The sequence below is a fragment of the Homo sapiens genome, chromosome 2 (assembly GCF_000001405.40).
Source record: "Homo sapiens chromosome 2, GRCh38.p14 Primary Assembly".
NCBI lineage: Eukaryota > Metazoa > Chordata > Mammalia > Primates > Hominidae > Homo > Homo sapiens.
In genome coordinates this window covers 32784424-32799047 of record NC_000002.12, presented here as the reverse complement: position 1 = coordinate 32799047, position 14624 = coordinate 32784424, and the positions used below count along the sequence as shown (strand labels likewise).

General features: G+C 37.5%; 1 protein-coding gene across 5 annotated transcripts in view; it reads right to left on the bottom strand.

Moving 5' to 3' along the window:
* Positions 1 to 14624, bottom strand: part of TTC27 (tetratricopeptide repeat domain 27) — a 193002-nt gene that overhangs the window by 22004 nt on the left and 156374 nt on the right. For all 5 annotated transcript variants that reach the window (NM_017735.5, XM_011532958.3, XM_005264416.3 and 2 more), the window contains one exon: positions 11899 to 12064. In NM_017735.5, the coding sequence (NP_060205.3) occupies positions 11899 to 12064 (166 nt within the window). The remainder of the gene's footprint in view (positions 1 to 11898; positions 12065 to 14624) is intronic.

Sequence of the window (14624 nt, the reverse complement as noted above, 5' to 3'; positions counted from 1 at the left end):
TAATATTCCATTGTATGTACATACCACATTTTGTGTATCCATTCATCCATAGATGGAAATTTGGGTTGCTTCCAGGTTTTAGCTATGTGAATAATGCTGCTATGAATGTAAGTATACACATTTCTCTTTGAGATCCTGCTTTAAATTCTTTGGGGTATATACCCAGAAGTAAAAGTGCTGGACCATATGGTAATTCCATTTTCGATTTTTAAAGGAACTACCATACTGTTTTCCACAGCAGCTGTACTGTTTTACATTCCCACCAACAGCGCACAAGGATTCCAATTTCTCCATGTCCTTGTCAACACTTATTATTATTATTATTATTATTATTTTTTTTTTTGAGCTGGAGTCTCGCTCTGTTGCCCAGGCTGGAGTGCAGTGGTGCAATCTTGGCTCACGGTAAGCTCCACCTCCCGGGTTCATGCCATTCTCCTGCCTCAGCCTCCCGAGTAGCTAGGACCACAGGCGCCCACCACCACGCCTGGCTAATTTTTGTTGTATTTTTAGTAGAGACAGGGCTTCACCGTGTTAGCCAGGATGGTCTCGATCTCCTGACCTCGTGATCCGCCCGCCTCGGCCTCCCAAAGTTCTGGGATTACAGGCGTGAGCCACCGCGCCCAGCCATTTTCTTTCTTTCTTTTTTTTGAGATGGAGTCGCGCTCTGTCGCCCAGGCTGGAGTGCAGTGGCGCCATCTTGGCTCACTGCAAGCTCCACCTCCTGGGTCCACTCCATTCTCCTGCCTCAGTCTCCCAAATAGCTGGGACTACAGGCGCCCGCCACCATTCATTTTTTTGTATTTTTAGTAGAGATGGGGTTTTACTGTGTTAGCCAGGATGGTCTCAATCTCCTGACCTCATGATCTGCCCGCCTTGGCCTCCCAAAGTGCTGGGATTACAGGTGTGAGCCACCGCGCCTGGCCTATTTTCTATTTTTTTTTTTTTAATTTTTTTTCTAGTAGCCATCCTAGTGGGTGTAAGGTGGTATCTCATTTGATTTGCATTTCCTTAATGATTAGTGGTGCTGCACATCTTTTCATGTGCTTATTGTTCATTTGTTTATCTTCTCTGGAGAAATGTCTATTCAACTCCTTTGCACATTTTTTAATTGGGCTGTTTGGGGGGTTTTGTTGTCATTGAATTTTAGAAGTCCTCTATATATTCTGGATATTATTCCCTTATCAGATATATTACTTGCAAATATTTTCTTCCATTCTGTGAGTTGGCTTTTTACTCCGTTGATACTGTTTTTGGTGCACAAAATTTTTAAATTTTCACAAAGTCCAATTTGTCTGTTTTTTCTTTTTATTGCCTGTGCTTTTGGTGTCATATCCAAGAAATCATTGCCAAATCTACCGTTATAAAGTTCTTGCCCTATGTTTACTTTTAAGAGTTTTACAGTTGTAGCTATTAAATTTAAGTATTTGATTCATTTTGAGTTAGCATGTGTATACAGTGTTAGGTAAGGGTCCAACTTTATTCTTTTGCATGTGGATATGCAGTTTTCCCAGGACAATTTGTTGAAATTTCCCCATTGAATAGTCTTGGCACCCTTGTCAAAAATCATTTGAGTCAGGCACAGAAGCTCACGCTTGTAATTTCAGCACTTTGGGAAGCAGAGGCGGGCAGGCTGCTTGAGCCCAGGGGATGGAGATCAACCTTGGCAACATAGCAAAACGCTGTCTCCACAGGAAAAAAAAAATTGTTAGATGTGGTGGCATGCTCCTGTGGTCCTAGTTACTTAGGAAGCTGAGGCAGGAGGGCTGCTTGAGCCCCGGAGTTCAAAGCTGCAGTGGCAGTAAGCTATGATCATGCCACTGCACTCCAGCCTGTTCGACAGTGTGAGACACTGTCTCTTTTTTTTTTTTTTTTTTGAGACAGAGTTTCACTCTGTCTCCCAGGATGGAATGCAGTGGCACAATCTCGGCTCACTGCAACCTCTGCCTCCCAGGTTCAAGCGATTCTCCTGCCTCAGCCTCCTCAATAGCTGGGACTACAGGCGTGCACCACCATGCCCAGCTAATTTTTGTATTTTTTTGTAGAGATGGGGTTTCACCATGTTGGCCAGGCTGGTCTCGAAGTCCTGACCTCAGGTGATCTGCCCACCTCATCCTCCCAAAGTGCTGGGATTACAGGCATGAGCCACCGTGCCCAGCCGAGACACTGTCTCTTAAAAAAAGAAAAAAAAATCCTTTGACCATATACACAGATTTCTGAGCTTTTAGTTCAATTCTATTGGTCTGTATGTCTGTCTTTATGCCAGTTCCACACTGTTTTGACTACTACAGTTTTGTGGTAAGTTTTGAAATCAGGAAGCATGAGTCCCCTAGCTTTGTTGTTCTTTTTAAAAGTTGTTTGGGCCATCCAGGGTCTCTTGAGATTCCATTTGAATTTTAGGATAGGTTTTTCTATTTCTGAGAAAAACCAATCCATTCAGATTTCCTATTTCTTCATGATTTAGTCTTGGTAGGCTTTGAGTTTCTAGGAATTTGTCTGTTTCATCTAGGTTATCCACTTTGTTGGCATACACTTGTTCACAATATTCTCTTATAATCTTTTTATTTCTGTAGAATCAGTAGTAATGTCCCCATTTTCATTTCTGATTTCAGTAATTTGAGTATCCTCTTTATTTTTTCACTGCAGTCTCTGCGCTGAATTCCAGACATCACTTTGGGTAGTACTGACAACTTAACAATGTTAAGTTTTTCAATCCATGAACATGAGATGTGTTTCCATTTATTTGTATCTTCTTTAATCTCTTTCATCATGTTTTCTAGTTTTTGTGGTCCAAGATTTTTACTTCCTTAGTTAACTTAATTCCAAAGTATTTTTTATGCTATTGTAAATGGAATTGTTTTCATAACTTCCTTTTGGGATTGTTCACTGTTAGTGTACAGAAATGCAGCTGATTTTTGTGTGCTGACTTTGCATCCTGCTACTATGCTGAATTCATTTATTAGTTCTAACAGCTTTTTCGTGGACTCTTTAGCATTTTCTACATACAAGATCACATCATCTGCAAACAGATAATTTTATTTCTTACCAATTTGGATGTCTTTTACTTCTTTTTCTTGTATAATTGCTCTGCCTTGAACTTTCAGTGCTGTGATGAACAGAAGTGAAAGCAAGCATCCTTGAATTGTTTCTGATCTTAGAAAAGAAGCTTTCAGGCTGGGAGCAGTGGCTCACACCTATAATCCCAGCAGTTTGGAAGGTCAAGGTGGGTGGATCACCTAAGGTCAGAAGCTCAAGACCAGCCTGGCCAACACAGTGAAACCCCATCTCTACTAAAATAATAATAATAATAATAATAATAATAATACAAAAATTAGCCGGGCATGGTGACATGTGCCTGTAGTCCCAGCTACTTGGGAGGCTAACACAGGAGAATTACTTGAGCCTGGGAGGTGGAAGTTGCAGTGAGCAGAGATCATGCCACTGCACTCCAGCCTGGGCAACAGAGCAACACTTTGTCAATAAATAAATAAATAAATAAATAAATAAATAAATAAATAAGAAAAGAAGCTTTCAGTCTTTCACCATTAAGTATGATGTTTGCTGTGGGTTTTTCATACCTGGCTTTTATTATGTCGAGGCTGCTTCCTTCCATTCCTACTTTGTTCAGTGCTTTTTAAATCAGGAATGTGTGCTGAATTTTTTCAAATGCTTTTTCAACATTAATTGAGATAATCAGGTGAGATTTTTTTTTCCCCTCATTCTGTTAATGTAGTATATTATATTGATCTATTTCATATGTTAAACCATCCTCAAATTCCAGGAATAGAGCCCACTTGGTTATGGTGTATAATCCTTTTAATATGCTAGTGAATCAATTTGCTAGTATTTTGTTAAGGGTTTTTGCATCAATATTCATAAGAGATTTTGGTCTGTGTTTTGTTTGTTTTTTTTTTTTTTCTTGTAATGTCTTTGTCTGGCTTTGGTATCAGGGTAATGCTGGCCTCATAGCATGAGCCAAGAGGTGTTCCTTCCTCCTCAATTTTTTGGAAAAGTTTAAGAAAGATTGTTGTGACTTCTTTAAATGTTTGATACAATTTACCAGTGAATCCATCAGGTCCACGGCTTTTCTTTGTTGGGAGATTTTTGATTCCTGATTCTATCTACTTACTAGTTATACATCTATTCAGATTTCTTGTTTCTTTATGATTTAGTCTTGGTAGGTTTTGTGTTTCTAGGAATTTATCTATTTCATCTAGGTTATCTACTTTGTTGACATATACTTGTTCACAATATTCTCTTATAATCTTTTTATTTCTGTAGAATCAGTAGTAATGTCCCCCATTTTCATTTCTGATTTCAGTAATCTGAATCTTCTCTTTTTTTCCTTAGTCCATCTATCTAAAGGTTTGTCCATTTTATTAATCTTTTCAAAGACCTAATTTTTAGTTTCATTGATTTTTCTTTATTATTTTTCTACTTTCTATTTCATTTATCTCTATTCTAATCTTTATTCTTATTTTCTTCCTTCTGCTAGCCTTGGGTTTAGTTTGCTCTTTAAGTTGTAAAGTTAAGTTATTGACTTGAAATATTTCTTGTGTTTTAAAGTAAGCATTTAGAGTTATAAATTTCTTCCTTAGCAATGCTTTCGCTGTGTCCTACAAGTTTTGGTATGCTGTATTTTCATTTTCATTCATCTCTAAGTATTTTCTAATTTCTCTTGTGATTTCTTTTTTGATCCATTGATTAAGAGTGTGTTGTTTACTTTCCATAATTTTGTGAATTTTCTAGTTTTACATCTGTTATTGATTTGTAATTTCATCCTGGGGTAGTCAGAGAAGATACGTTCTATGACATCTATCTTTTTGAATCTACTGAGACTTAATTTGCGATCTATCATATTGTCTCTCCTAGATAATGTCCCATGTGCACTTGGGAAGAATACGTATGCTGTTGTTGGGTAGAATGTTTTATATATGTCTATTATAAAATTCATTAACATACAAAATCTCTGCTTGTCTAACAGAGCCATACTCACCCCTTTTGGTTGTTGATGTCACAAAATTACATCTTCATAAATGGTGTGCCCCAAAACATACACTAATATATTTAATGCATTAGTCTCTTAAATTACATAGAAAGCAAAATATGGAGCTACAAAACAAAGTTACAATACTACTAGCTTTTAGACTAATAACTGTTTTTTTAATGTATTAGTCTCTTAAATCATATGGAAAACAAAGAGTACAGTTAAAAAAAACATTGTAACAGGCCGGGTATGGTGGCTCACACCTGTAATCCCAGCACTTTGGGAGGCCGAGGTGGATGGCTCACCTGAGGTCAGGAGTTCAAGACCAGCCTGGCCAACATGGTGAAACCCCGTCTCTACTAAAAATACAAAAATTAGCCGGGCGTGGTGGCAGGCACCTATAATCCCAGTTACTCAGGAGGCTGAGGCAGGAGAATCACTTGAACCCAGGAAGGAGAGGTTGCAGTGAGCCGAGATGGCACCATTGTATTCCAGCCTGGGTGACAGAGCGAGACTCCATCTCAAACAACAACAACAACAAACATTGTTACAATAATATTAGCTTTTATAATTGTTCTTATATTTATCTTTATTGAGATTTTTATTTCTTTATCCAGCGTTGAGTTATTGTCTAGTGTCCTTTCTTTTCACCCTGCAGGACCCCCTTGAGCATTTCATGCAGGGCAGTTCTAGTGGTAATGAACTTCCTTAACTTTTGTTTATCTGGGAATGCCTTAATTTCTCTCTCACTTTTGAAAGGCAGTTTTGCCAGATAAAGGATTCTTGATTGACAGTTTTTTTCTTTTAGCACTTTGAATATATCAGTCCACTGCCTGCTGGCCTCCAAAGTTTATTATGAGAAATCTGCTGATAATCTTATTAAGGATTCTTTGTATGTGACAGATTTCATTTTAGTCAGTATAAACAGCTCTATAGCCCTCATATCCCACCCAAACCAATACTATCCCACTGAGTTCATATAATGGCCTTTAAATCCCTTACCCACATCTTGATTTCATTTAGGTAATAGTAGAACTTATGTTTCATTCTCTGTCCCAACCCTATTTCTCACCTCCATCAGGAACCACACTTAGGGAATGCAACAAGCAGAGAATGACTGGGAAACTAACACTGGCCTGTGAAGAGAGTTGAAGGCCTCTCACATAGAGGAGCGGCAATTCCAACATAAATGTAGAAGAATCTCCACAAAGAGAAATGTATTAACTATTCGTTTCCCAACACTAACCTTGACTTCCTTGGGCTAGTCTCATCAAAGTCTTGGCCTAAAGTGCAAGGCACTGGCCCTTTGAATCCTGGAGGTCCTCAAAGCAGGAAGGAATAGGACTGCCTTAACCCATTACAAAAACTACCAGGAGGGCTCCAGGCCAAGAATGAAGCAATTTCCCACCTCCCCTGCTTGGCTAGCTCCCTGCTCCACTTGGAGCTCTCTAAGTACTTGTTCTGTTTCCTGGTCTGATAACCCTGACCCTTGGCTTCCCCAAACCTCAGTTATCAGAGAGAGATAGGCAGTTTAGCATTGTCTTTTTCAGTCCTTCAAAAAAAAACCAAAAAACAAAACAAAAAACAGTTCTTAGACTGTGGAAAGGGCTTTAGGTTAAATACGCCAGATGTCAAGCCTTAGCTTTACTGCTCGCTAGCTATAAGAAATCAACCTTATTAATTCACTTTGCTGAGCCTCAGGTACCTCAACAGTTAAATGGAGAGAATACCTATTTTCCAAAGCTATAATTTTTATAACATATATCCATTCTCTCCTCTTCTCTTTACTTTCGGGTAATGCACAGCCAGCAAGTGTCCCAGAACTTCAATTTCATTGGCAACTTGCCCCACTGCACATCAACACCATCTTCTCCTGTCCCCAAAGAAAGCATCAAATAAAAATACACACAAAGGACAACCTCAATATGCAAGAATACATACTGTATGATTCTATCTATATGGTATTCAAGAAAAAGCAAAACTAAACTGTGGAGATGGAAATCAGAAAGTAGTTGCCTCATGGGGGAAAGAGGTGGTGTTTCAACTGACTGGAAATGCATGTAAGAGAACTTTCTGTAGTAATGAAAATGTTCCATAACTGTTTGGGGTGGTGATTACATAAGAATACATGTAGTTAAAATTATCTGCAAATTATTTTTTTATTTTGTTATTTTATTTCATATTTTTTTGAGATGGGGTTTTGCTCTGTTGCCCAGGCTGGAGTGTGGTGGCACGATCATAGCTCACTGAAACCTCAAACTCCTGGGCTTAAGCAATCCTCCTGCTGTAGCCTCACAAGTAGCTGGGGCTGTAGGCACATCCCACCATGCCTGGCTTATTATCTGCACATTATGTCTGAATTTTTAAAAACCTTTGTTAGGTATAGTTCACAAGCACATTAATATGATGGGAAAATGTGCTTTTGACATAAATCTTCCCCCACAGACTTCAAGGCGTGACAAAGAAAAAAATAAGACATGCCTACCTGTGATTTCTGTCTTTGGTTCCTACTAGCCAAATGACTGCTCAAGTTATATAAGCTCTCTGGGTTTCATATTAATCAACTATAAAATGAGGAGTATTTACTATCCACCTCACATACTGTATGCCCAATAAAAGATAACCTGTGTTAAGTGGCAGAAACATAGTAAGCACTCAATATATATTAATCCCCTTTCCTTCCTCTTCCACATATAAACAACAAATGAATGTCAATAATGCAATACTTAAATTATTTTCCCAAAATGTTGCCCAAGGTATCCAGAAAAACAAAAAAGGAAGAAAAGGAAAAATATCCCAACAAATCAACATCAGAATTTACCTTGGGGAAAGAAGTATGGCTATATATGAGGATTCGTCTGCAAGGATATTCATGACATTATTTATAATAGTCAAAAACTGGAAAACTGAACAGGAACTAATTATGTAGGAACATGAAAATCAGTTTTATGATAGATGAATAAAAATATGTATAATCTAGAAATAAATACAAATAAGTGCTATTATAGAAAAGCATTCCTGGGTTTTACCAAACTATACATTAGTCAAAATTAGGACAAAGGTGTTTTTCAACATAGTACTGGAAGTCCTAGACAGAGCAATTAGGCAAGAAAAAAGAAATAAGAGATATTCTAATAGGTAAGGACTGAGCAAAACTGTCTCTATTTGCTGACAATATGATCTTAGCGAAAACCATAAAGAGTCCATGTAAAAACTATTAGAACTGATGAAATAAATTCAGATACAAAATCAACATACAAACATCAGTAGCACATCTATAATACTAATAACAAACTATACAGAAAGGAATGATGGTCACTAGCGTCAGGGTGGGGTGGAGGTGGGGTGGGGAGGAAATGGGGAATTGTTGGGGAAAGGATACAAAGTTTCAGACAGAGGATTAAGTTTGAGATCTTCTGCACAGCATAGTGACTACAGTCAATGATAATGTATATTTCAAAATACCTCAGTAAAATGTCAAATATGTCACCATAAAAAGATAGGTAAACAAGGTGGTGGGTATGTTAATCAGCCTGATCTAATCATTCCACATTGTATACACATATGAAAACATCACATGGTACTCCATAGATGTATACAATTAGAGTTTGCCAATTAAAATATTATTAATAAAATTATAAAATGGATAAACAAGAAAGAAAATGATAAAGGTAGTATATCTACTCATTCTTCAATTACAAATAGTGAGGAAAAAACAGAAAAATTTGAGGCTAATTTACCCTATGTCTGTATTAAAATAAGCATGAATTTATACACACACACAAAAAAAAAATTTAATGGCAATAATCCACATCCATAAAATAGAAAAAAACAGGTACAGGATTAGAACATGTTACATTGGAATCAGAACACAATTTTGCTATATTGAAAATTCCCCATGATTACAGGAGTAAAAAGCTAAGACTATGACCACTAAAATATGTTTGAAAAAATCTACTTAAGATAAAAGTTAAATCACGTTATCTGAATTCATACTAGGAAAATATAGCTATTTTTTTTAGATTTTTTTTTTCTTTTCTGAAAAATGCTCAAATGCATCTCTATGCATTTTGGGTCCTTTTATTCTTTCTTAGGGAAGGCTCCTGAAAGACTTCTCTTTTTTTTTTTTTTTTTTTTTTTTTGGAGACAGGGTCTTGCTCTGTCATCCAGGCTGGGGTACAGTGGTGTGATCATGGCTCACTGCAGCTTCAACCTCTCCAGCCTCAGGGAACCCTCCCACCTCAGCCTCCCGAGTAGCCACAGGTACATATTACCAAGCCCAGCTGAATTTTTTTTGTATTTTTTTTGTAGAGAAAGGGTTTTGCAATGTTGTGCAGGCTGGTCTCAAACCCCTGGGCTCAAGTAATTTTCCCGCCTTGGCCTCCCAAAATGCTGGGATTACAGGTAGAAGCCACTGCACCCAGCCGGCTGAAAGATTTCTAAGCAAATGTTCTTAAAATTCCAATGATTTTGATTTGGCATCCAACAGGGCAAATCACAACTGAAAGTTTTATCAGAATCAACTATCTACATACTCAGGTTATTGTTACCAAAATTATATCCTTTGGTATCTATAATACCACTGTTACTACCAATAGATAATTCTAAATATCACCTCTCTCCCTACACATTTACAGATACTCAAATACAGAAGTATCATCTAAACATTAGCAAGAATGTTTTTTCATCCTGAGAGAGAATGAGACTCCTAATCTGGGGGTGGTAGGGGTGGTAAGAAAAGAGAAATTTAAGTAACATTCTTCAATACCTTTTCAGCTATTGTAACCACTTCTGCTTCACTTTTTCTTGCCTTTCTTTTAGAATACACGAGTTAGCAAGATTTGCCATACTTAATTCATCTAAGTTAACTAAAATCGGCATTATCTTGATGACTTTATAACTCTATGATGTACAAGTAACAGCTTTTCCAAACAATCTTTGAATAGTTATTTTGTCTGATATTTTTAATTTCCTTAAAACAAGCAGGTGGAGAGATCCATCCATCCATCCAGAGTTAGACATAGCTTATGACAGTATAATCCTATCCCCCACAGCTGAGGTGAGAATTAAATGAGCTAATACATGTGAAGTGCTTAGGATAGTTTCAGACACACGGCAAGCCCTCAGTAAATATTAATTATTGTTATTTTACCACATACCACTTTGACCTGCTCTATGTGCCTTGGGAAGCGAAGGAGAATAAGAGCAAATAGAAAAGCCACTTCCTTTCATGTGTACATGTAATAAGTCTGTCTCTTACTGGATGAGAGAGGCCTAGACCTATTTGGGTACCTTATATAAAACAACTTCTATTGGTGCCAAGCATGAAAGGATGACCAGGATTTTCTCAAGATCCAAAAAGCCAACCTGGTGAGCCAGTTGTTACTAATCCTTAGCAGATATGAAGGAGATTACTGGGGTTAAAGTATAGATTTAGAGGGGAAATCCCACTCACAACAGAAAGACAAGCAGATTAGTTAGAAAATGGAGGCACAGGACAGAAGATTAACAGGATCAGACTGACCAAGGAAGCCAATTCTAAGACAATTAAGAAAGAGATGACACAGCCAAGTTATCAGCAGTAATACCAAGAGGATAGAAAAGCAGACTGACAGCTTGAAGAAGTCCCCTGTCTAGCTTATCAGGAAGGAGGGGAGCTTCACACTCCTTTCTGACTTGGTGTGTAAACTAATTCAGCCTGGCCCTAGAGGACTTCTAAGGTCCCTTTTTGCTCTGACAGTGTGTGATTCTAAAGAATGCTGGAATTGAGCCAGCAGCGATGTCTAAATGAGGAGTGTTGGATTTGAATGTTTCATGTACATTTTTTTTAATATGAAAGAAAACAACAGAATTTCTTTCAACTGTAAGATGGAATATACTACAAATATAAATAATTTACATTCTCCTTGAGATTTTAGGAACAGGTTTCAGAAATCTTTCCTAGTAAAGAAAGATCTTAAAAATCACAATTGCAGTAAACAAGAGATATGCACTATTTTCAGCAGTCACAATATACTGAGATCTGTTCAGAGTCTCATCAGTGCCCTTTGCCAAGGTGCTAAGTGTAGAAAAGGAAGAACTATCTCAATGGAAAATTTCAGCAGTGTTAACAGGACAACTATTGACTGTCAGGGGACTGTGCAAACAGATTCACTAGAGCCCCTACCCTTTCTAGGGATGTAAAACTCTGCTATCTCTCCATTCACTTGGCTATCATTCCATTCAGTTTTGTTTATTTATTTATTTATTTATTTAGAGACAGAGTTTTGCTCTGTCACCCAGGCTGGAGTGCAGTGGCATGATCTCAGAGTATCACTTTACACTGAAGACAGCATATTGTCTTCAACTACAATTAAACCAAAATGGTCTTTTTTATTTAATATTTTGGATGACACAACAGCTTTGAATCTCCCATACTTTCTGGAGGGATAACTTTATTCCACCAAACACAGCACCATCTCATGAAACATTGCAAAGAAAATGTTAGCCATCCTCTATATATTGTTCATACCATCTGAAGGTATGCAGTAAATGCTTGTTAAATGAATGAACAAGTGAGTATAGGATTTATTCCAGCTACCAAAAGTCAGAGAACACACAGAGATACCCAAAGTACTAAGTAACACAGTGTTTTATTTAGTTTCTGCAAAGTGACTATATATGTAACCCACATATCAGATTTTCATAACTGAGTCAGAGTAATATTCAGTTTATGACTGTACAAACAAATTTGACATTAGAATAGCAGAATTCTATATATCATGAAGAATATTTGACTAGAAAAAAATACCCTTTTCATATGTTACATGTGTTTAACAAAATTTTCCTGTGCATATTCAAGGAAATAATTTATACCATATGATCAAGGATTAGTATCAAACACAAACTGAAATAACGGAATAGGAATATCCTACCTGAACATCTTTGTATTTGTCACGTAAGTCCAAGAGCCGGTGATAAGCTTTAATGGCTTCTGAAAATTCCCCAACGTCAGTGCTGGTGAGGATGTAGTTTTCCCAAATCTGCCAGTGTTCATAGTTACACTTGAGAGCTTCTTGTAAAGTTCTAAAAGCTTTTACTCTATTGAAGGTCAAATTTTAAAGAGAGCAATAATGAACTCTTTTTTTATTAGAATAAAGCATAGCTAAATGTATAAAATACTAATGTGGACTGTCCGTCCTTATTCGTTCATATAAACAAACAGAATTAGAGACCCAGACAACACAAAACCAACTCAAACTTCCCTACAAAATTCAGTGACAGACCCTATGGCATATGTAGCATACATACAGAGATATTCCTTTCCTAATCTATTTACTGGTAACAAGGACATTATTTTAAAACTAGGTATCAATCCCAGTATCACCTCAGGAGAAGGCACACTCAAGTTCCAAATCTGGAGTCAGAGTGGCCAAGCAAGCACAATTGCAAACCTGTAAGACAAAAGGTGCAGACAGTAGTGGAGGGACCAGAGGCAAGGAGGTCAAAACAAAACAACACACTCCTCATGAATCTGCAACCAAAATGCTGCAAACCAAAATTCTACACCCTGTGAGAAAAAAACCTTCAGTCAACAAAACTAGTCAACAGGACATAAATTTACTAACGACAAAATTTTAAGGTGGCCAGGCATGGTGGCTCACATCTATAATCCCAGCACTTTTTGAGTGGCTGAGGTGGGTGGATCACCTGAGGTCAGGAGTTCGAGACCAGCCTGGCCAACAGAGGCTAACCCCATCTCTAATAAAAAATACAAAAACAAACAAACAAAAAAAGCAGCTGGGCATGGTGGCATGTGCCTGTAATCCCAGCTACTCAGGAGGCTGAGACACAAGAATCACTTGAACCTGGGAAGCCGTGGGTGCAGTGAGCCAAGATCACACCCCTGCACTCCAGCCTGGGCAACAGAGCAAGACTCCATGTTAAAAAAAAAAAATTGATTTTAAGGGGGAGAGGGAGGAGTGACAAAAAGTTTTTCTTAATTGTTTAACAATTTGTCAAGCCTTTAAATAAACTTGTTTAGAATACTGAAAGAGACAAAGAAATAATTTACATTGAAAAGGAACAGAAAATTGTGAAACAAAAACAGGGAGAAATGAAATAAGAACAAGGAGATGTGAATAAAATAACTGGAAATTTCAGTATTGAAAGAGGCAATAAAACAACAACAGGCCAGGCACAGTGGCTCACAACTCTAATCCCAGCACTTTGGGAGGCTGAGGATGGTGGATCACAAGGTCAGAAGATCAAGGCCATCCTGACCAACATGATGAAACCCTGTCTCTACTAAAAATACAAAAATTAGCTGGACATAGTGGCACATGCCTGTAGTCCCAGCTACTTGGGAGGCTGAGGCAGGAGAGTCGCTTGAACCCGGGAGGTGGAGGTTGCAGTGCGCTGAGATCGCGCCACTGCACTCCAGCCTGGGCAACAGAGCGAGACTCTGTCTCAAAAAACAAAAAACAAAAACAAAACCCTCAATAGCTAACAAAAACTAGAATGCACATAGTCAAGGAGAAACTGATGCATTGGAAGATAATAGTAAGGAGTTCACACAGAATTCGAATTATAAAATAAAAGCTGGAAAGAGAGGAAAGAATGAGAGGTAAGACTCAAACATACATCTGATAGAGATTCTACAGTAAACAAATGCAGAGCATGGCAGGATTCTTTATATCCAAAGATAAAAGCAGAGAATTTTCCAGAAATGAACAAATTTCAAAAAAAATTTTGATCATAAATTCTATGATCAAAAGTATATTTCACATACTGAGCATTATAAGTAAAGATAAATGAACATCTAGAAATATTGTGTGAAATTTAGGAAAGATATTCCTAAAATCTACAAAGAAGTGAAGACAGATGTTTATTTCATCAGCAGTAAGATGACAGAAGACAACAGAATACTACTTTTAAAGTGCTGAGTGAAAATAACTGTCAGCCAAAATTTTATCATCAGCTAAACTTACCACTCAAGAGTAAATGCAAAATGAAACATTTTTAGATATACAAAGGTTAAGAGCATTTACCATCTATTGACTCTAAGAGAACTATCTCAGGGATTCCTTCTTGCAAAAATACAAGGGAACTCAAAAAGAAAGGAAACATGTCTTCAATTTCAGTCATAAATTGTTCCATGGAATATTTTTTTCTTTTTTTCCTTTCTCTACTCTACCACATCACCACCTCCATCTAATAACAACTGCCTCCAACAGTTTTGGACCAAGACTCCCCAGCTCTCCCATCCACAGGGGTTGGGGGTGAACTCAACAAGTAAAAATCCACACCATGAGGATTATCCTTTTTCCTATATGTCCTCCCTTATGATCCCCCTAATCATAATTTCCTAGCCTCAAAATTGTTCCATGAATCCTTTTTTCCTTTTTGGTAAATACAGCTTCTTTGTAAGGTGCTTCACTTCAGGATTCACTTATCAAAACCCCTCTATAGTAGAGATATTGCACCATTAAAATTACATCCGAATATAGACATTTTTACATGGGACTGATAGGAACATGATATCGAGGGGAATCAGTTGAAACAGCAAAGAGAGCACTTTAGTGAAGAATCTTGTGACCACAAAAGGATAAAAGAAAGTTTAATGGGCCGTTTTAAGGCATGAATAGGATCTTCTGAGAGA